Here is a 27,193-nt window from a genome sequence, read left to right as displayed (position 1 = left end):
TCGGCCAGGTGCAGTGGTTCAAGCCTGTAATCCCAACACTTTAGGAGGCCGAGGCGGGCAGATCACGAGGTCATGAGTTTGAGACCAGCCTGACCAACATGGTGAAACCCCATCTCTACTAAATATACAAAAATTAGCCAGGGGTGGTGGCATGCGCCTGTAATCCCAGCTACTCAAAAGGCTGTCGCAGGAGAATTGCTTGAACCCGGGAGGCAGAGGTTGCAGTGAGCCGAGATCACGCCACCGCACTCCAGCCTGGGTGACAGAGCAAGACTCTGTCTAAATAAATAAATAAATAAATAAGGATCAAGTTCTCTGCCCTTCTTCCTGTACATAAGTACATGATAGATTCCATACTTTCCTCTGTATTCTTTCTTTTAAAATGGTAGGAATACAATGCTACAAAATGTTCCAGATTCTTGTCTAAATATGTCTGTTTCTCCCTCTCATTTTTTCTCATTCTCTTTCTCATTCTTTCTCTCTGCCTCTCTCTATCTAGGAAAGGGGTGATAATGGTTGTTTTGGCAACTAATATCCATTTTCTTTGGTCTGATAACAGCACCATGATTTATTTTTCCAAGAATTAAACCCCATCCAAAAGAAACAATTTGAAGGAACCTGCATTGAGGATTCCCACCTTACCTTGGCCAAGAAGCAGCTATCTGACCCAAGAGAGGCCAGTTAGATAACCTTCCCATGAAATACAGGTCTTGAGCAGAGTGGCATAAAGGCAAAAAATGGCTAGGATTTATTTTTCTTATGTCAGCGCCCTTTCAGTACTTTCTACTACTTAAATCTGAGCAACTCTTGTGTCAGCATTTCCCCAAAACTAGTTTTGTCATTTTCCGTTTGATTTTGTAATTACCTTAAAATTTTACAATATTTTGCTCACAGTAAAGCCAGTTTCTATTTCCTGCAACCAAAGAGTCCTAACAGATACAACTTTTTAACTCAATCATTTGTTAAGTCTTAAGATTTGCCACCTAATCTTCCTGAAAAGCCGTAAATATAATGTGCAAAAGCAGAGTAATCCATTTGCTTTCCTAGTGTCTTAGGCATACTTCTGGGGCCTGGGGTAGGATATAGGGACTTTTCATCCTGCTCTTCCTTGGTTTTCCTGATGAGAAAACAGCAGACTATTGACAAGTCAGGATAACTATTTGCTAACCTTCTGCCCACCAAGACCTGAGAACATCTTAAGGACCACAGGGCAAAACCAGGTGGATGAGCAGCAAATTGGTTTGACTGTAGAAAAGTATGGCTGTGTCATTTCCAGTCCCAGAACCCTCTAGTAAACTGAAAAAAATTAGGGAGACTTGAAGCCCCAACTCATAAAATTTATTCACTATTATTGAGCAGCCATTACCTATGAAGCACTGAATAAAAAACTCTATACATTTTATCTCGTTCGAGCCATACAATAACCATAGATGGTTATTGTAAAATAATTTATAATTATTCCTATTTTACAGATGAAAAGGTTAAGCTTTGGAAAGGTTAAGACCTTGTCTAAGGTCAAGAGCTAATAAAAGACAAAGCCAGGATCAAATTGGGGTCTTTTTTTATTTCACAGTCAACAGTTTTAATCACATTGACGTCCTACCTATTGTGGACACGTTTCTGCTTCTGTGCCAGAAGTCAGAGTTCACCTGGCTAATATACAATGTAAAACCAAAAAGGCTTCCATTAGATTTCATGCCACAAACAATCGCCCAAGGGGTTAGGCATCAAAGTGAACTACCTTGAATTTATCCATTGCCTTTTATCCTCTGCCTGCCACTTGAGACTTTGCTGTCCTCTGTGTACTGATAAACCCTATCTTACCTGGAGCAGGAATGTTTTTCAGGTTAAAACAAAAAAGGAAGACCATTATTCCTCACACGTTAACAGCACTCAAGAGCTTTGCCAAACTTGTAACTCCCCCAGGGCTCACTGCAGTTGATGCAGAACTTCAGGGACCTCCGACTTTGCACTTTGCAAGCTGCTCCTACTCAACAGATAAAAGGGAGAGATCATCACCCAGAAGTTAAATTTGACGCTTAAATACCCTCTCACAGAGCCTTTCACGTATAAAGACCACCTTAAAGACTAAAGGAATAGAATGGAAAGCAACTATATGTTACACATTCACTCGAAAAAAAAATTTACTACACAAGTTAACTAGTAGTTTCATGCAAATATTCATTTCTTTATTGTAATATACATACCTTGATTATGTAGGATGTTAATATTAGAGGAAACTGGGCAAAGGATATATCTTTGCACCTCTTCTATAAATGTAAATTTATTTCCAAAATAAAAGGCTTTCATAAATGTAATGACATGCTCGGTAAGAGTCCCTACAGTATGCTCCTAAAGAATCACTGTTAGAACAGCATTACTGATGGAATGCAGTTGAAGTGAGAACTGAGTCATTTTCATCAATGATGTATCATTGGTAGCAACAGTACAGAGTTCCTCTAATCCAAAGCCATGGGAATAACACATCTTGCAAACCAAGGATTTAATAAGAGCTGAGCAAAAAAGAGAGTTTGGTCATAATGCTTCATATCTGGGCCATAAACATGCCTTCTATATATAACACTGTAGTAAATAGTATTGGCAGAGGGGAGGTGAAGCAGGCATAGGGTGTGAGGAAGGAAGTAAAAGGGAGGACAGAAAGCACCATTCATATATTCATGAAAGAGATGAACCTGAAGGAAACAAATAATCATTTTTCTTTAGCATCTAAGATCAGATCATGGGAAGAATTTCCACATTTGCATAAGTAACTTTATAATACAGAGGGAATAAGACACTGGAGTACAGGTCCTCGACACAAGAAACTTTTTTAAACTTTTCCAAAGAAAGTTTCAGAAACACCCATCCAAGAGTTATTTGGTATAACCAAAGCATTTCAGAAGAATTTTAAAAAGCAATGAAAGGATGCAATATTTAGAGCCTGGAAAAAGCTTTCTAAGGAAGTTCTGAGGATGATCAAATCCAGAATCAAGAGCACTTTCAAGAATTTGAAGGTCTCTTACTTAAGGACCATGATCATTTAATCTTCTTTGCTAAGACAAGAAAGAAATATCTCACTAGGTCACCAAAGGTGATTACAATATTATCTTTGGATGTCATTGCAAAGAGAAGAGGCTGCTTTTTGTAAGGGTTTAATATAAACCTGCCTTAAAGCACAGAGGAAGAATAGATGGTCTATTTCAGGTCTGTTTCCTCCCCAGTTCATGGAATCAAAGCAATATAATATGCAGCTGCTTTAATATTTCTTTGAAGAGTATTTGCTAGAGAGGAATCAGGAAACATTATTCTAGGACAGAAAGCACCAGTCACATCATGAAACTTGGGCGTAAAAAGTCCCTTGACTGATCCAGTTTTCTAACCTCTCTTCCTATTTCATAGACTTTCCGAGGACATATGACCATGAACCTGCAATTTAGGAGACAAGCTGATCTGGCACTAAGCTCTGATTTCTTTTCCAATAAGACAACTGAGATAAATTCATAGGAGAATAAATCATGGCCCTAAAGCAGAATCTTAAAAAAAATGCCATTAGTCTCTGATACTTTATTTTCAAAGGGCATATCTACTCACATCCTACTTATAATATCCTTAAGGTAAAGTTAAAGTAAATAATTCAGTTTTTGAAATTTGTATTTTATTGCTTTCATGAATGAAAAGAAAACATAATCATCTGGTACATTATGTTTGTACATTACTGTTTGAAAACCATACTGTGATAAACTCCTCCCCCTCAACCCAAATAGCTTGATAAAACCCCATTTCACTTTATACCAGTTTGTCTTCTATTTATATTTTAATAGAATAATTTGGTCAGACATCCAAAGGACTTCCCACTAATGAAATAAGAATTTTCTAAGAAAAATCAATTTATAACTTGCCTTAGTACCCATCAAAGACAAGAACAGTTATTAAAGTCTGAAACACAGCAACCATCCTCAGACTCCAAAGAAACAGTAGGACAGTATTAGAGGCAAGCAAAGGGTTAACACAGCTGATTTCTAGGTTAAGAGAAAGATGCAACATAATTTTTTAAGACAAACACCTGGAGGGAAAAAAAAAAGTAGTATTTTGTTTCCACCTCAAGAAATTACAGACAAACATGAAGCAAATCACATCATCAGAATACTCAATTATCTGAACATGCTAATTAACTAAATGTAATCAACCCGCTTTCAGTTCTCTTTTCACCTGCTGTCATATTTCTAGTGCACTGCCTTCCTTATTCCTCACAACCGGTAGAACATTAGACAGTCTGCATGGTGCATCAAAGGGAAACAAATAAGCACAGATTTTTGCTGATGGCAGGAATTTCTCATGCTCAGGGCATATGAATCAACAATATGGAAATGGCAGTACTGGCTGTATATTTTAATTATTCTCCACACCTATTTTGCAAAAGACACTTAAAGTTCAATTAGGTAATATGATGCTCAGTTATGGTTATTTCATAAAACTGAGCGCAGACAGTCATTTAAAGTAGTAAATATGCAGTCATGACAAAATTAAATATTCATGAAATCAAGAGCGACTGGAAAGCTGAGGATATCAGAATATTAAAATTCATCATAGTTTTCACAATGTAAATCTTGTATGCATTTGTAAGGCACCCCGGTCGCATCTAGAATGTGTTCAAATTCTAGTTCCTTGGTAAACTGCCATTTAAATAACAATATTGATTTTGGAAGATAAACAACAATTTTGATTCTTAGCTCAGTTTCAAAATGCAAAACAATCCTGAACATTTGCAAATCTGAACTTGTTAAGTGAGCCTGTCTCCAAACACAGAACAGCAATTCAATGTGATCCCGACATGTTTCCAGTATTTATTTAATCCACTAGTATCTTAGGAAAGCTCTAACAGAAACCAAGGCAATCTCCGTTAAGGGGCACTTCATGACACACAATTCCTTTCTAACTAGCAGAAGCGCCCATTTTCCTGCACACTTCCTTAAGTGAGCAAAAGTGAGAAAATAGATTGACTGACTCATTTGGTTCCAATAGTCTGATTTGTTGAACCAACTTTTCCCCAATATTGCCAGCCAGTTTCAAAATATATTAACAAATACACAGTGTACACTTTATACAGATAAAACAAAGCAACATTAGCTTCCACAAAACTAAACTCCGAGTGTGTGAAGGAAGACTGCTCAGAGACAAAGCTGTAATAAACACACCCTACTAATACTACCAAGGCAGTATTTTCTATGCCATTTCCTCTACTTTACAATTTTCTCAGCGGAAGAGACATCAGCACCAGAAAATAACATTCAAGCCATTTCTTACTAGAATCCAATTACCTGAAGAACTCCTCTTTCCACAGCAAGTAGCAGCTATCCCCCGGTCTACAATGACACAGCAGGGCTGCAAAAGATTTGTAGGGCTCATCTGCTGCCAGGCACTTGATCCCTGCCCTCCTAGAAGGAGGATGCCAGGTCAGGAGGAGGACCTCCAGCTTAGAGCGGGGTTAAGCAGGGCACTCCATTCTGCAAATGAGCCAAACTTTGCTCCCATTGTTATCTTTAGGTTGATGTCACCACCCTCCAAGGAGTCTCAGAAGCCACTTGGCAGCTCCTAAAGAAATGTTTCTCTTAGACCCATATCATCCAAATAAGCCTCAGTTAGACTGCGAGGGCAAGCAAAGGTCTCATCACTGCTCTACTGAGGTGCTGTGCTTGCCCAGAGCATCACACCGCATGTACCAGACGACTTTTCTCTGCACACACCGCTGAACACTGAAACCAGGACAGACTTCTGCACATACCCTCCAGTTCGGAAAGTCACTATCGCCCATGGATTCCCTTAAATCTTAAGCCTTCTTCACATCTGCCACCCCCACCCCCACACAAACCAGGGAAGGGGGTTGGGGAGCGGAGGGGTTAAAGTGACAGCCACGACAGCAACTCCTTGGTTTTGTTCAAAAGGTATCACAGCGCCAACACTGTGGACCTACCTTGCTCTCTCCTTTCTCGCCGTTGGGTCTCGTCTCGGGATCGTCGCTGTCCTCAGCGCCTGCACTCTCGCCGGGCAGTTCATCCTGAGCCAGCTGCTGAGGCGGCGGCTGGGGCTGGGGCGGCTGTGGCGGCGCCTGGCAGGCTCCGCCAGCCCCCTGGGAGCGGGGGATGGGCTCCGGGCGCGGAGAAACTCCCTCAACATCCATCTCCATCTTCCCATTCACTGGAGGGCAAGACAAAAGCGGAGTGGAGACTTGGCAGCGGCGCCCGGCAGCTACTCAGCTGCCCGTGGCACGCATGGCTCGCCGAGGAGGGGCCGCCTCCCGCGCGCCCTCCCTTCTGCCACCCTTCGCCCCCGCTCCCCGCAGCTCCGCTCGCCTGCTTGGCTCCGGCCCTGGCGGCGTCTGGGCCGGGGTGCGCGAGGAGCGGGTGGCCGCGTGTCCTTGGAGCGCTGGCCTTCAGGCGCCCCCGGCAGTCCCGCTAAGCAGAGCGCATCCCGGCGGCGGCGGCGGCGGCGGCGGCGGCGCCTCCCAGCCGCGCTCCCAGCCTCAGGGCCGCTTGGGTACTTGCTCTCCAGCCCGGCCCACGCTCCTAGCCGCTTTCCAGCGTCTCTTGGGGCCCCTTGGCGTTTCTCCTCCCTACCAACCTTCTGAACAAAGTTGCTGGAAGAACCAACCTGGTCGCCGGGCTTTGCCCGGCGAAGCTGGCAAGAATAGGGACTCTCAGGTGCAAGTGAAATCTACCTTCCCCGCCCGCTGACCAAGCGCCGACCCTCAGCCTTACCCCCTCCCCAACGCAAAGGAGCCAAGGAAAGGAGGGATCTCCGACCTGTGCGAGGTGGTGGCGGCGAGGACTAGAAAGAGAGGAGCGTGCGGAGGGCTGGTGCGCCCACCCCCAACCCCAGGTGACCCCCGCCTCCGCGCTGGCCCTGGTCCCCTCCCTCTCCCGGCCGAGCGCGCCTCCGGGGTCAGTCCCTCCGGGCTGCGCGTGTGTGTATCCCAGAGCTCCGCTCCGGGGTCTGTTCTGCCGCTGGCGGCTCCGCGCCGCACAGCCCTGCACTAAAGAACTGGAGTAGAGAAGGAGAAGCCAACGGCAAATTCCGGGCAGGAAGTCGACCTACCCTTGCCTCTGGCCAGGTCGCAGGTTAGAACCGGGAAGGGGTGGGGCCCCTCGGGGACAGCGAGGACGCGAGTCTCGCGGCGCGCCGGAGTTTGGCGTAAAGGTCGGCAACAGAGGGTCGATGGGGTAGGAGGAAGGAGAAGCGAGAAGTCGCTGCCAGGCATTTACTGCAATGTGCCCGGGGCGGGCGCCAGCTGGGCGCCGTCTCTTTTTGGTGGTGAGTTCTGTGCTGGAAGAGCGTCCTCAGCAGGGCAGGGCTCCACCAGGAGGCTTCGGTGGTGACCCCAGGGCAGGCAGTGCGTTGCGTCTATAAATTTAAATAGAGATGGCGAGGGTAGCCTTGGAAATTCTTAAATCAGGGTTCACCACTAGTCAGGTGAACAGGATGACTTCTCAATTTAACACCACTTGATCCTGGGTAGTAGCTTACAACTTCATGGGAACTGCCACTGCAACTCTGCACGTCCAGGAGGGACTTTCAAGCAGCTCTGGAGAGAAATGGCGGGTTATCAAGAACCTGTTCAATATTAAATAGAGCCCATTATTCTGGGCTTTGAATTCCATAATGCTCCCAAATGGATCAGCAGATTAATGAACTATTCATGCGTTTCTTGGCAGAGGATGGCTTTTTTCCCCTAGCATGTATCACAGATCACACTTGCTTGATGAAACTGGAAAATTGCATTGCTCATCCCATGAATGCTTTGCATTAACTTAAACACAACTTTTACATATCAAGACACACTGTCCCATTGATGCAGTTACACAAGAACACATCATTAGGTTGTATCCCTCAATGCTATCTTTTAATCTGACTCTGCATGTGTGACAGAAATTAATTGCCACTTTCATCAGTGTAGACAACCAATCTGGGTAATGCAATGTGAACAAGTTTTTGAAAAAGAAGAAAAAGTTTAGGGACCAAATTACCCATTCTCTTTTTCTTCAGATTTTCTAAAAATCAGATTTCAAGTTCGTTTTCTAAATTGGGAATTGTTGAAAATAGAGTGAGCTCCTCCCCAGTACCTGGTAATAAACCAACAATCATTATAGAACGTTTATAATGGTAAATTAGATTATATGTGTAATGTGCTTAGCAGAGTGTCTTTGTGCATATCGAGCACCTAACATTGTTATACCGAGAACAGTAAGATGATATATGTTCACACTGAGTGTTCATCTGAAGACCTTGATTTACAAAATAGAAGCTACCGGTTTAAATCACCTTTATTTAAATTTCCTAAAAGATATTTGGTATCTTTAGAGAATGAAGCCCCTTCTGAAGACAGGAAGAAAGTCAATAATATTTTGTGCAATAAAGGTTTGAATTTGTCAGGTTTTTGTTTTTTTTTTTTTCCCTACAGTGTAGCAATAAAAATCACATGTCAGTTCAGACAGCAGCAGGAATAGCTGACTGGTAAGTTATTATTCTTCCATGCTTGCTACTTCCAAAATACGTTTGTGAACTTCTTTCAAGGCTTAAATGAAGATTAAATCAAAATAAAGATACAATACTTCAATTAAATTTGTCCTAAATTTAGACATGTCCTTTTAAAGATTCTTATTGTTAAATGCAAATATTTCTCCTTTCTTCTGCCCCTCTATTTTTGGGGGACAGTTTTTTTTAAGCATCTGTCACAAGTAAATATGGACTCGGAAAATATATTACATTTCAAAACTGTTGATTGCACCTAATTATGCATGTAAATTGCTACTTCAAGCATGAAGACAGCTTGCAACATTTTGAAAATTTTGCCCTACTAGTCATCTGAGGTATTTGTGTTACTATTTTGCAGTTGCCTTAAATGACTCTTCATTTCTCAATTAACTTTCCATTAATGATAGGTCTATGAATAATTTTGACCTTTGGCTTTCTCTTCCCAAATGATTTAAATTAGTAAATTAGCACTTTCAACAACATCACCCTTCTTCCTATTTATACCAGACCTCTTGAATTTTTGAGTCACTGAAATTGGAGTTTACAAAAAGGTGTCCTGGGAGAGTAGTCACTCTTAACTCCTTGCTACTAAGTATGATCCATGAACCAGAAGCTTCCCAACATCTGGGAGTTTGTTAGAAGTGCAAAGTCTTGGGCCCTACCCTAGACCTACTGAATCAGAATCTGCATCTAACAAGTGATTCCTACCACATTTAAGTTTAAGAGCCAGTGCTCTGGCACATCACATGGTTGGTCTTTCTACATTATAATCATCTATGGGCACTCATTATTTCCCTAAAAGACTACCAAGAAAGGCTCACTAGGAAAACACAATTTAGCAACTTTTTTTTAAGACATTATATTCCCCACCACCTCTCATCCTCCAGGATCTTAGTCATGCATAATGAAAAGTTTCATGAATTAAGAATTTATCGGCCTGGCATGGTGGCTCATGCCTGTAATCCCAGCACTTTGGGAGGCCGAGGCGTGTGGATCACCTGAGGTCAGGAGTTCTAGACCAGCCTAGCCAACATGGTGAAACCCCGTCTCAACTAAAAAAAATGCAAAAATTAGCCAGGCATGGTTAGCAGGCGCCTGTAATCCCAGCTGCTTCGGGGGACCCCGGCAGGAGAATCGCTTGCACCCCGGAGGCGGAGGTTGCAGTGAGCCAAGATCGCGCCATTGCAGTCCAACCTGCAGAACAAGAGCGAGACTTCATCTCCAAAAAAAAAAAAAAAAAGAAAATTTATCTATATTGTATCTCTGGTAATAAAAGCATACAGTTTTCTAAACTCTAAAGGCATTAACCTAAAATTCCCTTTGTCTTGAATAATAAACTTGATGAAAATATGTGGAACTAGTTTCTTAAAAACTTGTTTATTCTTGACCTTCTTTCTACTTGAGACTTGAAAGTCCACAGTTTCTTTCTGCTGGGATAACTAATGTCTTCGGTTGCAAGGCAAACAGAAGCTGACAAGTGCTTGTCTGTGCAGTGGCAACCTAATAAAGCTACAATAATTTGGAGTGAGTTTGGACCAAATTATGTGCCCCAATATTTTTAGGGACTATAAAAAATTATTACAAGAATTTCTTTAAATCACACAGATCAACAAACTGTTACTTTAAAAGGCTATCTGGTGTCGTACTTCTCACCTTTAATGTATATGAAGTCACCAGGAAAATGTTGTCAAAATGCAGGTTATGATTCAGCCGGTCTGGGTTTGGGTGTGAGAGTCTAAATTTCTAACATCCAGGTAAAGCCAGTGCTTCTAGTCCCCAGACCTAATGGGTTTGCTTTATTACCATTAATGTTTCTCAAGTTTTCATAGTGGGAAACTTTTTAAAATCTTCAATGCCCAGACTACTAGGCCCCAGAAAACTTAAATCAGAATATTTGGGGTGGGATCTAAGCACAAGTAGTTGTTAAACCTCTCCAGGTGATTACAATGTGTAGCCAAGATTGAGAAACAGTGCTGCCTGTGAGTGATTCTCCAAGTGTGATTCCCAAACCAGCAGCAGTAGCACCTGGGAATTTGTTGGAAATGCACACTCAGTGTCCATCCTAGACCTACCAAATCAGAAACTCTAGAGGTGAGATCCAGCAATCCATGTTTTCACAAGGCATGATTTTGATGCATGCTCAAGTTTGAGATCCACTGCTGTGATCAAAGATTCTCCGCTACTGCATGTGAGAATCACCTGGGGAGTGTTCAAAAAACACGACTTCCTCCCTCACAATCAATTAAATTAAAATATCTGAGGGTGAAATCTAACATGTTAATGTTTAAAAGTTCCCCCAGGTGATTCCAATTGTGCAGACAAGGTTGAGAAGGATGTCTATAGACTGAATTTTTATGTATGCAAATCAGTGTTTCCATGGAGCAGCAGTTTCTTCTATGCTAGTTTAAAAAAAAGTTCTTAATCTGCAAAAATGGAGAACTAGAAAGGTAGAGTACTATCCCAATTATCATAGATTCAAATTAGTGTATTCAGTATTTTCCGATGAGCCATTTTTCCTTCTTGGTAACATGACAGCAGCTTCTGCTGTCTCCAGCAGGACTTTGATGTGAAATGATTCAATTTTAAGAGGCTATGAGATGTACCCTGGCACCAGCCTCCAGTGATTAAAGATTCCTGTGTCAGATTGGTTAACCATCTTCAGGGATGTTGCTGTAAATCAAGTCTCTGCTATTAAGGGCTTTAGCACCTTGCTACCCAAAGTGCAATTCACAGATCATCACCTGAGTGTTCATCAGTATCACCTAGGAGCTGTTTATGAATGCTGACTCTCAGGCCCCACCCCAGACCTACTGAATCAGTGTCTGCACCTTAGGGTCCCCATGTGATATGTATGCACATTTAAAGTTTGAGAAGCACAGATATAGTGTATCACCGTGATATACAAAAAGATATACTAGCCACTTAATCCTAACTCTTACATCTCTTGGCTCTTCGTGGATGTACATCCATTCTGAGAACCTTGTGGAACTCTTATGCATAAAGTTCCAATTGTAGAGGAATCTACAAGCATCCTTCCCTTTGTTTTAACCCTTCTAGGTTTAGCACCACTGTCCAGTAGAACTTTCTACAATGATAGAAATGGTCTTCATCTGTGCTCTTCAATAAGTAGCCACCAGCCACATGTGGCTATTGAACAAATGAATTGGCTAATATGACTGAAAAGCTGAATTTTAATTTTATTTCATTTTAATTGATTTAAATTTAAATAGCCTTATGTGGTTATCGGCTCCACTATTGAACAGCACAGCTCAAGAGTAATCATCTTTCCTCTTGCTCAACCCTTATTCCAGTTCCCAGGTTGCACACCAGCCCCTCCTTCTCAGCTTTTGTATGTATTAATCCCCAGTGAATGCACCAGGAAGAAAAACATCTGCCTTTGCCACCTCATTTACATAATAAGTAACATTATGCTTATTATTTTGAATGAGAGAAGTTTAACTTGAATTAAATGCCACCAAAAGTTGTCAAAACCTTTTTCATAGTATTCATAATTGCCTAGCTTTAATTTTACAGCCTTTTCGAACATCAGCAGACATAGAATGCATTTGGAAACTGCTTTAAGAAAAAGAGACAAAAGACTGCAAATGGATTCAGAGTACAGGATACATAAAGACATCCCCCCCCCACCCCAAGCATCTTGTTGGTGTATAATGGAAAGTTGATTACATTGAGTGCATCTATGTTGAAAGTAAATATCAAAACTTGCAGATTACTCTCAAAATGGAAGGTGAAATGCAAAACAAAAGAGAGATCATAGAGTTAACAGTACTAGAAGATAGCAAATGAAATTCAAAATAGAAATGTACTCAACACTTAGTCTGGATATTAAATATCTATGGAACCAATGGAATGAGATGGGATGGGATGGGGTGAGATGAGAGGAGAGGGAATAAAACAAAAACACTCATGATTTGAAAACAGAAACCAGCCCCCTCGAGCTTTCTCTTCTCTGGGATAAGAATAACAACAACCACACTTATAATTGCACTGCCTATCATTGCTTAAGTGTGCTCTGTATATTATCCCCTATAATCCTTTCAATAACCATGTAAGGTGGGTATGATCAGGAAAAAAATTATTCCAGAGATTTGGATTGGTATTTTAACTAACACACCTCAGGAAGGCAGAATAAAAATAAGCAAATCCCTACTAGAGAGGGAAGAGGATAGTGTTAAAATAAAGTCAGCCCTTTTCTTTGATTGAAAAATGACATGCATCACTTCTAAACTGAATTAGCCACAACCTGTCTTATAAAAGGAGGCTAACACTAGGAAAATATTTCATCAGGGTCTGTGCCTTGCCCAGCTGCTGATTTGGTACTGTGTGATTCAAAATTATTCCCACAAAGAAATGTGTAGCTAAGGGCAACAGCCTCACTTCTGCAGGATGGTCACTTCATAGCAACTGAAACCAATAAATAGACTGTTGTTGTCCTCAGGAAAGAAACTCCAAGGGACTTCAGATAATATGATTTCAGGAGGCTGGCCGGGAGCTCAGACACCATTCAAAACATCTTGACTTTCATGAGGGCTTCTTAAGACCCACCTCACTCAGACGTCGTTTTCTCAAAAACGGAGGGCAAGTTTATTCATAATCCACATCAATCCAGTTGAAAAGAGAGGGAGCAGAGTGAGGATGAAAGAAGACAAAAATATTTACTCCTTCAGTGATGAACTAAGAGGGCCAAACTCTCAGTTCTGTGTTTCTACACCTTTGCTGATATCTTAATAAAATTAAGCCACAAACTCTAATAGTTGTCTTGAGCAATGTTTGGAAGATGCACCACCCTTTACTTGCTCAAACACACACGTTTCTTAACAGATGACTAAAATTTTACGTGTAGTTTGGGGACATAAGAATTCCCAGGATTCTGAACTTTAATTTTGGGGTCACGCGAAAATGTTTCCAGACCTTTTCAGTTTGAAGGGAAGTCACATTCTGCCCAAGCAATATCAGAGCAATTCTGCCTTAGTGAGCTGGCCCATTCGGCTTCCTGAGTCTTATGCAGAATGTCAGCTTCGCTGAGCTGGTTCTGACAATTGGTGCTTCTGAATGTTTAGGTGTGGTGCTGAGAAATGCAGTCCCTCTCCTATGATCTCCCACATTTGATTATTTCTGTGCCCTTTACTTTGATTTGGGCCTCCCAGCTTGGATTCCTGGTTGCCATACTGGGGATTTCTTTCTTTCTTTCTTTCTTTTGAGACAGACTTTTGCTCTTGTTGCCCACACTGGAGTGCAATGGCGCCATCTCAGCTCTCCACAACCTCTGCCTCCCAGGTTCAAGCGATTCTCCTGCCTCAGCCTCCCAAGTAGCTGGGATTACAGGCATGCGCCACCATGCCCAGCTAATTTTGTATTTTTAGTAGAGACGGGGTTACTGGGGATCTTTGTTGCATATTTACATTTACTGGGATCTTTGCTGGACACTGGAGCCATAGAGATGAAGCATGTGATAGTCTCTGCTTTGTAAACAACAGCAATATGGATACTTAAGGTATGCCACAAAAGACTATGAGAGCACCAGAAAGAAAAAAGTCAGTACACACCCACTTACCCCAGGAGTTTCAGCAACCAGAGCGTTCTCCCTGTGTATCCCTTAGGAGTCTTAAAAAGGGAACCCAATAAATAACCAACCCAAGTTCTTAAGGTGAGAAATAAGGCCAAAGAATATCCAGGGCCAAAATATCACCTCTATTACTGATAACATCTAGGTTGGAAGATGTAGCTTGTATCTGTAAGCAAATGGTCTTCCTATTTATGAACACTAAGATCAGGCAGACAGATTCACCCAGTCACAAACAGTGTGGGCATGTGCCCTGCAGGCAGCTAGCTCCCAGAAAGAAAAAGGAGGAGGCCAGCAAACTCAGTCCATCTTTTCCCAAATTCACTAGGCAGACAAGAAACCTCTCCTGAGGCAGTGGGAGTGAAAGAGTTGAGAGAGGCCAGGGTTGCTGTGCTAGTTGAACTCCACACACATGGAAAGAAATAGATATGGGGAAGAAGTGTTATGCTTCCCAAGTGAATCCTGCTTCAATTTCAGCCCTGTATCCTATATCCCACGTCCCAATCCCCCTTGCCGACTGCTGTCTCCTGCGGCGGGGGAGAACTCTGGAACATACCATGGATAACTCTATTTCCTGCCTCATGTATCCACTTACTGGCCCTATATGACTGCTCGGTCACCATTAGCTCTACCAGCCACACTTCCCTCAGTTGCAGAACTAACTACAACTAACAACAACCTAGACATGGTTGGTCAGAATTAACATTCCTGGTACAAAGCTGTCAAGAATTAAACTCCTGACCTGGTTCTCATTAGCATCATGCTCATATCTCCTGAGCAAACCAGAAATTATACGAAGGTATAAAGCTTGCAGAGGAGGTGCTCTAGCAAGTACCTTTTATCTTACAAGTGCCTAATAAATATTACATTTTCATAATTTGGCTTTTTAAACCACAAATTATCTTTCATGCCCTCATGTAGTATGTTTTAGAAGGCCCACCTAATGCAGTGCCTTGTACATGGTGGGAGCTAAATACATGTTTGAGAATGAATATTAAAAACCTTTTATGTGAATGACTTTGCATCTCATCTCGGAAAATTTAGTCTTCAACAAAGTAAAACAAGAACAGTCTATTTGGAAACTAGGTTTTCACCATGGATTTTACTATGATCACATGTTTGTGTCAATTTCACTGAACTATTGTAGGAAGGTGAGTAATTGCAACTTCACACAGGTATCTTTTCTGAGTCTCCATTTCCCTATTTGTGAAATAAAGTGTAATGTGTTCAACTCAAAAACTGAGATTACAATAGTAGATATCTTCTGACTAGTTAATTGCACACTGAAAGTATCAAATAATCAAGTGAAGGTGGGAAATCTGTAGTTTTTAATGGTATGCTTTCATTTGCATCTCTTCTCCTATTTCTAGATATTGATCCCCTGGTCATTATGTTCTTTATCTGTACACTTTGCTTTCCATTTTGAAATCAGAGTATAACAAACATGCACAACTATGGCAAATAATTAGATGCAACATTTTGGAAAATGATAATTTAAATGTAAATACAAAACACATAAGAAAAAATAACCCACAGAGGCAGTAAGAAACATAATAAATAATCCTCTAGGGAGAACCAGAAGAGTGTGGATGATGAGTTAGAAGGTGCATCTGGATAAATTTCTAGAGAAAAGAGAAGGACTACTATACTGGAGAAATAGAAATTTTGGTGGGTGATACACACCTTTTTCATATTTTGATATTCTCACATACCTTTAGAATAACATACATGCTTAGAAATTAAGAGATACAGAGATGCCAACTGTTTGCTTCTTCTCACTATTCCCTCTCTTTTTACCCCTTAGTATTCAGGCTCCCAGCCCTCTGCTCTGTCGACACTGTTCTGTTGTGTGTCACTCATCACCTCTCCACTGCAGGAATTAATGCCTTTGTGGTTCCTTTATCTTCATCATCTGTCTGTCCCTTATTTCACTCAAATTTTATCAAAAAAAATTTCAAATTAAGGACTTTCAAATTTTCTGAAGAAAAATTGAGTGAAATAATCAATCTTACACAGTCTAAATTCCTCCTCCTTTTCTGACTAATCCCTCACCAACTCTCATTTTTACTCTTTGTTCCCTATCCATCTCCAAGTGACCTGTTCTACTCCATGAATATTCTCTCTTGAGAGCTCACAAAACTTTAACTTTCTTGAAATAGCACTCGTTATTAATCACCAGAGAGATTAAACACACCACTAGGCATTTAATGTATAACATTTCTTTTATGTATCATAACAGCCTCATTGCAATAAGCATTGCTAGCTCCATTTTATGCCTGAGAAAAGTGACGTTCTGAGAGTATAAATAGAATGCCTAAAGCCACAATCCTGGTAATAGCAAAACCAGGCATTTGAATTCAGGCCTCTCAGACACAAATTTCATGATCCTTTCCACCTATATATGTCAATGATCTCTTGCTATATAACAAATTACCCCCAGAACTTAATACTCTAAAATAATAAAAATCGTTTATGGTGCTCACACAACTGCAATTCAGACAAAGCTTGGTAGATGTGACATGCCTCAGCTCTATTCCACATCAGCTGGAGCAGCTCCAGTGGGGGCTGAAAGCTTCACATTGAAGATGGCTCACTCATGTGGCTGGCAAGTTGGTATTAGCTGTTGGCTGGGGCTCAAGGGCTGTGGGCCAGGGGTCTCTGTTCCTCTTCACATGAGCTCACCAAAGGCCGCTTGGGCTTCCTCACAACATGGTGGCTGTGTTCTAGGAGCAAAGAGTCTACTAGAACAAGGCAGAAAGCTACCAGAACAAGGCCATTTCTTCTATACACTGTTGATCAAGGCAAACACAAAGGCCTACCCAGGTTCAAGGGGAGAGGACATAGTCTCCATTTCTTGATATGGAAGTAGTAAAGTACTAAAAGAGCATGTAGGATAAGAGAAAACCCTGTTGCAGCAATATATGGAAAAAACAGGCTGCTACATGATGATTCCTCTATAAATCCCATCTATGAAGATGACTTTCAAATTTATCTTTAAGCCCTGACATCTCTTCTGAGGCCAGTTCCATACTTCTGATTGTCTATTAGAATTTTTCAAAACCCAAATTCACAAAGCTCTTTATTAAAACCAGGTTTTATCCAATTCTTTGTTATTTATATTAACAGCACAATTCTTCCTAATCATCAAAGCTGAACAGCTCGCATGCAGTTTTGACTCTTCTTTCTAGCTCCCCACATCCAAACAGTTGCTGAAACCTATTAAGTGTGTTTCATTAAACAATTATTCATTTATTTATTTTAAAAAACGGTATTGAGTCCTTACTATGTATCTGGCCCTGAAATGGTTAATGTTAGTTATTAGTGATGGAGATAGCAAAGTACACCCACACACATATCTATGAACATATATATACATATACTGTATGTACACACACACATAATGTCTTTGCTCTTGAGTAGTTTGCAGACTTATGTAGAAAGAATAGACAAATCAACAAAATGTTAAAATTATTATTATAAGTATTATACTCTAAGTAAACTCATGGTGCCGAGGTTGCAGAGGAAAGAAACACTAACCTAGGTTTGGGGTGAGTGAAAGGTAACGAGAGAGGGCCGGAGAAGAAAGTGAACGCTAATCTGATTTTAAAGGAAGAGCAAGAGTTTTATTTCATCTGAGCTCACCCTTTACAAACAAATCAAAACAAAACAGTATGCCGTTTTGCTCAGGATGACTTGAAGTTGGTTGGCCAAGAGATAGTTTCTGAACCATTGAATGATAACCAAAGCTAAACCTCTGTTCAAATATATATAGACTCTTAATAAATGTGTCTAACTTCTAGAAAGTGAATTAATTTAATAATAATCAGTATCACTGAGCACTGAGGTATTTGAAACTCAATGTAGAGAGATTTTCTAAAATTGCTTTTTAAACAAGAAGGAAAGAAGCCTTTCACAGACTAGTGTGCTGGTGTTTTGCCAGCTTGCTCTTACATCAATTTCTCATTGTTTGTTGTGTTCCCTGCTCTGCTCTGTGTCACAGGAAACTACATATCTGGGCTCTTTTGCTAACTGATCTCTGGATAGTTTCAGTCCATAGGAGGTACTGGTAGAAGATGGCAGGGTGTAAGGAGGGGAGACGCTAGGGAATTTATTCCCCTCTCTCTTGCCTCAGCTGCATCCAGCAGCAGCTACATCTCCTCTGTGGCTCCAGCTCTTGCCAGACAGAAAGACCCTCCTTCAGTTGCCCTAGGTCTCGCTGGGCAGCAGCCCCACACACCCCCACCACGGTGGTTTTAGTTACCACTATGTGGCCCCAGATTCTAGGACCAGGTAATACACCTTCCTCTCTGTGGAATTCTAGCCCTAGGGGTGGGAAAAGCCTCCTGCTCTTGCTAACCTCTGGGTGAATTCATCATCTTCTGCTGGCCATCCCATGTGTGACTGAATCTATCACACTCTCTTCCATTTGAAAGGCTAGAGTGGTAACTGGTTTCCTGACTGAACTCTGACTGGTAATACTTAGCTCATTTTAAAATTATTTTTAAGTGTGGTAAAATACACATAGAAAATTTTCCATCTTAACCATTTTAGGTATACAAGTCAATGGCATTAAATACATTCACATTGCTGTGCAACCACCACCACCATCCGTCCCTAGAGTTCTTCTCATTTGCAAACCTGCAACTCTGTACCCATTGACAATAACTCCCTATTCCCCTCAAACCCTGCCCCTGGCAACCACCCTTCTACTTTCTGTCTTTAGGAATCTGACTATTCTAGGTACTTCCTATGTGTGAAATCATATGGTATTTATCCTTTCCTGACAGGCTTGTTTTACTTAACTTAATGTCCTCAAGGTTCATTCATTTCATAGAATGTGTCAGAATTTCATATCCTTTTAAGAATGAATAATACTCCACTGTTATATATAAATATATATGTGTGTATATATATATATATATATATATATATATATATATATATATACACACATATATACACACACAACATTTTGTTTATCCACTCACCACAGATGGACATTTATGTTGCTTTTACCTTTTGGCTACTGTAAATAATGCTGTCATGAACATTCATGTAGGAATATCTCTTTGAGTTCCTGATTTCAGTGCTTTTGGGTATATACACGGAAGTGGAATTGCTGGATCATATGGTAATTCCTATTTTTAATTTTTGGAGGAACTACTGTACTGTTTTCCAAGCAGCTACAGCATTTTACATTCCCACCAACAGTGTAAAGGAGTTTCAATTTCTCTGTATCCTTTCCAACATTTATTTTCTGTCTTTTTGATAGTAGCCATTCAAGTGGGTATGAGGTAGTACCACATTGTGTTTTTTAATTCACTTTAATGCCAGAATAGTATCTCAGAGTGGTAAAAAATTTTTGTTTCAACTATGTCTTCTAGTCATATGGTAAGCAGTAGGCAGGATTTCTGGCATTAAGTTTATTCCTGCTCTATGTTTCCATGACAAATTTAAATAAGAGCCTTACCAGCACCCAACAACTGAGGCCCAGTGAGGATTTCAGAGTAAGTCATGCCTTCTTCAAATCCCACTTCAGCCACTCACTCTGTGACCTTGGACAATTTATCCACCCCTCTTTCTGATCTCAGTTTTCTCATCTATCACTTTGTGAATAATAACCCATGCCTTGCATAGCTAGAATAATATTTTCCCTTCATATTTACTTACATTCCAGATTCTTAGTTTTAAATATTTGATGCTTCACATCTTGCTACCTTGTTTAGATAGTGAAAACTTCATATGCTTTTGTTGATACAGTATCAATAAAAAGAACTGAAAATGTGCACATGTTGCTTTCCCTCCTGGCTAAGACTGCAAAAAGTAGCTAATTAAGAGTGCAAGTCCCTGATGTCTGATGAATATAATTTTAAATTCTAACTCCACTACCAGTATATGTATGACTTCGGAAAGTCACCTAAATTATTTAATTTCTCTGAACTTCAATTTCCCCACCTGTAAAATGGGGATAATAACATTTCCTATACCTTTGGGTTGTTGTGGAGATTAAATAATGTAATTACATAAAGCTCTCATCACATTTATAAATATCTACTAGGTATTATTAGACTCTATTCGAACTGCAAATTTAAAACTTAATAGACCCACTGTTGAAAGATCCATTGAAATATTTTCATATCATGCAGGGGATTTTAGTTTGGGGTTATTTGAGGACACGCTAATAAAGACTATTTCTACCCCAATTTTCAGCTCTTACTTGGGTGTCTGAAACTCCAGGGTGCATAGTAACTTTGTATCAGTTAGGTAACTGCCTGTATGAGTTGGACAAGCTCTAGCCACCTGGTCTTCTTTCAGTATGTTTGAATGTTGGAATTCTACGGCATTGCGCTTTTTGTGTAGCACAGGAAGTCAGAAGTCTAGATTTTGATTAACAATCCCAAACAGAGCTAACCATGTTCTTACAAAGGCATAACTTATGCTCAACCACAGTCCATACCCCTCAGGAGTGCGTAATGACCCTAACTCATTCATTTCTCATTCCCTAAGAGAGCAAGTTAAGCATAATCTCTCCCTCATTCATTCAGCCCTTCATTTCACAAACCTTTCCTGAGCACTTGTACTAGGCTCTAAGAACTATGCCAGAAATACAGAAATGCAAGACATAGCTCCAGCCCTCCAGGATCTCAGGAGACTGACAATCAGCACTACGTGCTGTAGGAACCCAAATGGTGTCTAACTCAGTCTGAGGTGTCAGGGAGGAAGCAGTGGCTGGGCTGAATCTGGAAGGATGAGGAGATGTCAACAAGAAATAATAAAAGGGAGGGAGCATCCTTGCTGTTCAAAGCGGAGAGAACAATGGGTAGAGAGCAAGACGATGAGTGTAATGTTACATTGCAGAACCTCAAGTGTGTAAACGAGAAATGAGAGGTGGGTGGAAAGGTTGTCTGGACGCAGATCGTGAAGGTGCTTCTATATCATGGTAATGATGGTGGTATTTTAAGCAAGGAATAAGATGTGGGAGATTTCATGATAACCCTATAGAGAAAAGTAAGATAAGAGGGCAAGGAAACCAACTAGGGGACCAGAGCTGTAAGAGAAGCAAGAAATAAGATTTTGAATAAGAGAGCAACCACAAAGAAAGAAGAGGTGCTGTATTCTAGAGGGAATTAGAAGCAAAATCAACAGGACCGAGTGAGTCATTAGATGTACCTATTGCTTCTAAATTAGGAATGTCAAGATCACTGAGCAGACTATAAATGTTCTCTGACCAAATGTGGGTACACCAAGCAAGGCTTCAAAAGATGGCCAAAGTAAGAGCAAAATCAATGTGCCATGTAGTCAGACGCCAACCAAACCTGACCTGTTTTTACCAACTATGCATTGAAATGTCAGAGGCCAATGAATTCTATGGGATTTTTGTTGAATAGAAAAAAGGAAAGAACCCATACTTTCCAGGTAGTGCAAATTTTTGCATCTGTGTTTATAGTGCTATTTATTCTGAAAGCTCTCTTCGGTCTTTTACAGGAAACTAAGTATATGCTTTTCAGTGTCAATCATCAGACAGCTAAAGACTCTATTTTTCATTGTCATTAAGCAAATCTTCACCTACACAAAACCACTTTGTTTTTAAGGATCTCTAAATAAATAACATTTACTAACCTTGCTGACATTTACTAACCTCACCCATTCTATTTCTTAAAACACCTTGCATGAAGAAAACCCTCCTCATACTTACTGTAACTCTCTCATATGTCCAGGTAAGGCTCTTTCTTCTCATGTTCTCTAGGGTATGTTGAAAAATAGCTGTTTTATGAAAGGGATAGATTTGTATTTGACTAGCTCTTGTGAGTGAAAATGATTTCTTCCTCAGAGATCAACACAAGGTGAACTACACTAAACGTAATTTGCTGCAAATTACACTGCCCAGATTCCACAGCTAATCACTCACCATTTATAAATAAAGGAATTTTGGTTTACAATAGGAGAACTAAAGACTGTGAACACCAATTCCAGAACTAGGCTTATTGTCAAACATTTTCTTGCCTCACAGTTTTTATATAATTTAGAATAAGGCAACCTTTATGGAGTTTATAGTCGAAAGACACGATTTGGGGATATACTTGGCATATGTCTTATGGTAATTCTCCATGCCTCAGAAGGTCTTAGTAAGCTGGATGACTGAGTCTTTCCATGGTTAAGTATTGGCCACATTTTGGGAAGATATTGGCAGGCTGGATATTGGGTGACTGAAATCCAGATTTGGAACCCAGAGAAACAAAAGGAGAATACAGAGTGAAAGGTAGGGCCAATTCAAGGCTGGATGAAGAAAGAAACTGCAGGGTTTTTTTTTTTTTTTTCTAGTCAAGATGTTTTGGGCTGCAAGTCAAGGAAAACCAACTCAAACTGTTTTAACAACAAAAGAAATTTATTAGTTCATGGAACCAAAATGTATAGAAATAATATAGTTTCTAAAACAGTTTGAAGTGGGCTCTAACTTTATTTCACTTCTGTTCTCTTGGATCTATCTTTCTATATTGTGCCATCTTTGTTCTCAGGCTGGCTCCATACTCATTGTACATAAACCCCCATGAACTAATCACCATGACCAGGAAAATATCTCGTTGACACAAGCCAATCACGTCTTGCCCTTGGGTATGAGTGTGGTGGTCAGTCCTACCAAACCATATGTCTACCATAATAGAAAAGGAGTGTAATAGATGCTAGAGAGGCATCAATCCCACTACAATACCCAATAAATTCGTAGTCAATGAGTGCAGAGGGGCAGAGCCAGAAAAGAAGGGAGGCAAAAGAAATTGAAAGCAAAATAGTCATGGCACCATAATCAGACTCAATCCACCCAGCACAAGAGAATCTCACACTGGAGCAAAGCTAGCCTGGGATGACAGGATGATTGCATTTTTCCTGTTGTTCCTAAGAATAACTTTTGAGGGAGGTTTGAAGCCAACACCTACATTCATGACAACCATGTCCTCATGTAAGTTATTAAGAAAAGAACAATAGTGTTTCTTTCATGGCAGTAAATCTCCATGCTAGAATAAGAAAAAGAGACATTCACTTTTTTTCAAGCAACTAATGTGCTAGTTAGTAAATATCTGCTCTTAAGGACAAAGTAGAACTCAGAAACATTGAACATTTTATGAAATAAAACAGCTTGTTTCCTAAGAATTACACTATGTGCAGTGACAGGCTGTTCTAGTACTGACTGATTCCTTCGATAGGAACAAAAAGTTTATACACCAATATTGAATAGGGAAAGGAGAAGGGTCATAGACATAGGGAAAGTGCATTTTATAATTTATCAAGATCTGAGTACAAAGACCGTGTGTTTTGTTTTTGTTTATATTAAAAAGGTCCCTCGGAGAATAAATCAATTAGTAAATATCTTTCACAGTGCTTGGCAAGTAGTAGGTACTCAATAAGTGTTCATTGAATTAAAGTATTTATTGAGTACCTTGTAAGTACTGTGACAGGCATTGATGGTAGCTTAGCAGACACTGCATGTCCCTTGGCACTCACCATGTCTGAGTACATGGATTGCTCTTGTTAAAAGCATCTAAAACTCTCTGCTTGAGGGAGATGGTTAGTCCGTACAAGTGATAGGCTGGAGGTGCTTGGAAGTTAGTGTTGCTGGGAGCAACTTTCTACCAATGATGGATGGGAATGGCTGGTTAAATATTCTAGCTTCTTTGCCCCTCAGGTAGGAAAGCTCTACGTTGTCTCACAGAGGTCCTGAGTAGGACTGAGCTGCAGTTGCCCACAGCACTAACCTGCTCATTAATACATCTTTCTACCCATCCATTTTTCATTTTTCCACTCTCCTGCCAATGCTTCTTGGGATCATCTCCTAAATCAGCTCTTTTTGCTTGCAAAGTTGTCTCATGACTAGCTTGTAGAGGAACACAGCTTATGACCGTAGCTCTCCTAATAGCATTCTCCCTTTCTTTCTGTCTAACAGATCCCAAATACTTTGGAGAGAGGCAATAAGCCTATCCCCAGGATATGAATTATTATTGGGATACACCAAACATGACAATCTCATTTCAGTTTCTACAGCCCAGTCTTGCAGATATGATCACTCTAGTCAATGAGACGTAAGCATAAAACTAATGAAAATTTTCTGAAGAAGCTATTGCTATCATGACAAAAAGTTATAGATGTGACTGCCTTCTTTCTGCTTTAAATGTAATCATGGTACCTGGAAAGAGCTGCAGCAAAGAGATCATAGCAAAAATTTTGCTGGCTGCAACATCATTGACCCTCTGAGCCAACAACAACAATGGCCCATCTCCAAGACTTCTTGTTATGAGAGAAGATAAAGCTTTATTTGTTTGTCAACTTTATTCAGATTTCTGCTACATACAGTCAAAAGCAATCCCAACCAATACAAATACGTTAAGGGTTGAAAGAGATAATAAAGGAACAACTCATGACTGTTTTACTGGGGAGTGAAAACTAAGTTATAAAACAATTAGACCATTTGTATTAACTCTAAGGTAATTGGTGTGATGTAATAGTTTGTTCAAGCACAGGTTGAACAACTAATTGGGATAGATTGAAGGGTTATAGGATGTTTAAGACTAGAGGATCTTTTAGGTCCCTTCCAGCCTTAAGTTTCTATCATTCTCTCACTACAGGGAAGGAAATAATTGGAGGAGTAGTCCCAGCAGTAAGAGAGAAGAAAGAAAGACATGGGCCTTGGAAGATAGATAGGATATGAGTAAAATGAAGCAAAGAGCATTGCGATTAGAGCAAGGTGTTGGAAATGTATGCTGCAGAAATACTGCCTAAAACCTGGAAGTCTCATAGCTGAAAGCACCAAACTTTGGTCCCCCTCTCGCCACCAAAATGAAGAGAGAATGCAGCTGGAGATGATGAATTTCAGTGTGGATGTAGATGCAGACATAACAGCCATTTCAGAAGAGCATGTTTCACCTATAATATCTGCTATAACTGAAGTCAGCTGATCTTGCTTTTAAACCCTTTTAGGAATTTCAAAATCAGCTCAATGGATAATGACAAAAGTGTTAACTTCTGTGACACCATTCTCTAAAGATGAAACCATAATGTCATCAGGGGTGGTGTTAAATGCCAGACTGAAGAGAAAGTGGAAGAGACAGATACGGTGGAATGCAAGGATACTGGACCCCTGAGAGCAGCCTGTTGTCATTGCTTGGCATTTACAGCATCTGTAATTCATTAGCTATTCTTTTCTTTTTTAATGAGGAAACAGAAAGGAGATCAAGGAATGAGCTCAAAGCAACCAAAAAAATCTTTTCAGTAGTAAGATAAACAAATGTTACCATGAGTCTGAAAGCTAGAATTCTACAAGGGGAAGAAATATATGGCCCCTGCTAATTTTAACCAGGACCATTGCCTGTGTAATTGCCATAATAATAAAAGCTACTGGTATCTATATTTTACAAACTGCTATTAACTAAATTACCTCATTCAAACCTCACACACACACACACACATACACACACATACACACACACAAAACAGAAGGTAGGAAAGTCAAAAATTAGATCCTCATTTTACAAAGGAGAAAACTGAGGCCCACAGAGGTTAAGCAATCAGCCAAATAACAACGAAGGCCACCTAGCTGGCAAGGAAACAGAACCCCATGCAAACTCCCATTATCTGTTTATTACCCCTCCCTACCATGTAGGTTTTGGCTACAACAAACCAACTTGATGGCCAAGTCTGGTTAATCCTGGAGTGCCAAGACACAGGCCAACACAGAGATACGTAACTTGTTAGGATTTATGTAATTCACTCAACTCACTAAATTAATTATTTATTAAATGCTGCCCATGTGTCAGACACCATGCTATGTACCTTGGGTCCTTAGGGAAAGAAATTGTAAACTCCTGGCCTTGAGGAGTTTACAATTCCCTTCAAAGGACCCAAGTGTCTTTGAGTTACTCTCCTAATATCTGAGGCAGAATCCCTTCCCAGGGGAGGCACTTTCAGCTCACTCTGGTGCTGGAGTGACACCTGCTGTGATTTGCTGACTGGATCACGAAAGACATGGAGATTTACAGAAGTGAACAAAAAAGAATGGTGAGGGACACTAAGAAATTCACTCAAAACCATAAAATTACATAGAAGTTAAATAACCTACTCCTGAATGACTTTTGGGTAAATAATGAAATTAAGGCAGAAATTAAGAAGTTCTTTGAAACTAAAGAGAATAAAGACAAAACATATTAGAATCTCTGGAACATAGCTAACACAGTGTTAAGAGGGAAATTTATAGCACTAAATGCTCACATCAAAAAGTTAGAAAGATCTCAGTTTAACAACCTAACATCACAATTAAAAGAACTAGAGAACCAAGAGCAAACCAAGCCCAAAGCTAGGAGAATACAAGAAATAACCAAAATCGGAGCTGAAATGAAGGAGATCGAGACACAGACACACAGACACACACACACACACACACACACATCATTCAAAAGATCAATGAATCCAGGAGCTAGTTTTTTGATAAAATTAATAAAATGGATAGGCTGCTACCTAGACTAATAAAGAAGAAAGGAGAGAAGATTCAAATAAGCACAATTAGAAACGACAAGGGGAATATTACCACTGATCCCACAGAAATACAGATGACAATCAGAAAATATTATGAACATCTCTATGCACATAAACTAGAAAATCTAGAAGAAATGGACAAATTCCTGAACACATACACCCTCCTAAGACTGAACCAGGAAGAAACTGAATCCCTGAACAGATCAATAATGAGCGTGGAAATTGAGTCAGTAGTCAGTAGCCTACCAACCAAAAAAAGCCCAGAATCAGATTCACAGCTGAATTCTACCAGATTTACAAAGGGTATCTGGTACTATTTATTCTGAAACTATTCCAAAAACTTGAGTAGGAGAGACTCCTCCCTAATTCATTCTATGAGGCCAGCATCATCCTGATACCAAAACCTGGCAGAGACACAACAAAAAGAAGAAAACTTCAGGCCAATATCCTTGATGAACATCAGTGCAAAACTCCTCAATAAAATACTGGCAAACTGAATCCAGCAGCCATTAGAAAGCTTATCCATCATGATCAAGTATCCCTGGGATGTAAGATTGGTTC

General features: G+C 40.3%; 1 protein-coding gene and 1 long non-coding RNA gene across 2 annotated transcripts in view; one reads left to right on the top strand and one right to left on the bottom strand.

Moving 5' to 3' along the window:
* Positions 1-7,190, bottom strand: part of LINC00693 (long intergenic non-protein coding RNA 693) — a 183,060-nt gene extending 175,870 nt beyond the window's left edge. The window contains exons 1-2 of the long non-coding RNA NR_038840.1: positions 7,093-7,190; positions 5,972-6,195 (exon numbers count right to left, since the gene is read on the bottom strand). This is a non-coding gene — a long non-coding RNA (long intergenic non-protein coding RNA 693). The remainder of the gene's footprint in view (positions 1-5,971; positions 6,196-7,092) is intronic.
* LOC107986012 (protein transport protein SEC31-like) lies at positions 6,141-25,515 on the top strand. The gene is made up of 3 exons (XM_047449399.1): positions 6,141-7,115; positions 8,456-8,508; positions 24,730-25,515. Exon 1 carries the CDS (start codon positions 6,141-6,143, stop codon positions 6,729-6,731), a length of 591 nt encoding a protein of 196 aa, XP_047305355.1. The 3' UTR covers positions 6,732-7,115; positions 8,456-8,508; positions 24,730-25,515.
* The last annotated feature ends 1,678 nt before the right edge of the window (positions 25,516-27,193 follow it).

The sequence above is a fragment of the Homo sapiens genome, chromosome 3 (genome assembly GCF_000001405.40).
Source record: "Homo sapiens chromosome 3, GRCh38.p14 Primary Assembly".
NCBI classification, from domain to species: domain Eukaryota; kingdom Metazoa; phylum Chordata; class Mammalia; order Primates; family Hominidae; genus Homo; species Homo sapiens.
The sequence above is the reverse complement of the archived record's forward strand: the minus strand, read 5'-3'. Positions and strand labels throughout refer to the sequence as shown.

Excerpts from the sequence above, each read along its gene's own strand:
- LOC107986012 (XM_047449399.1), top strand. The coding sequence starts at position 6,141 with ATGGGCTCCGGGCGCGGAGAAACTCCCTCAACATCCATCTCCATCTTC.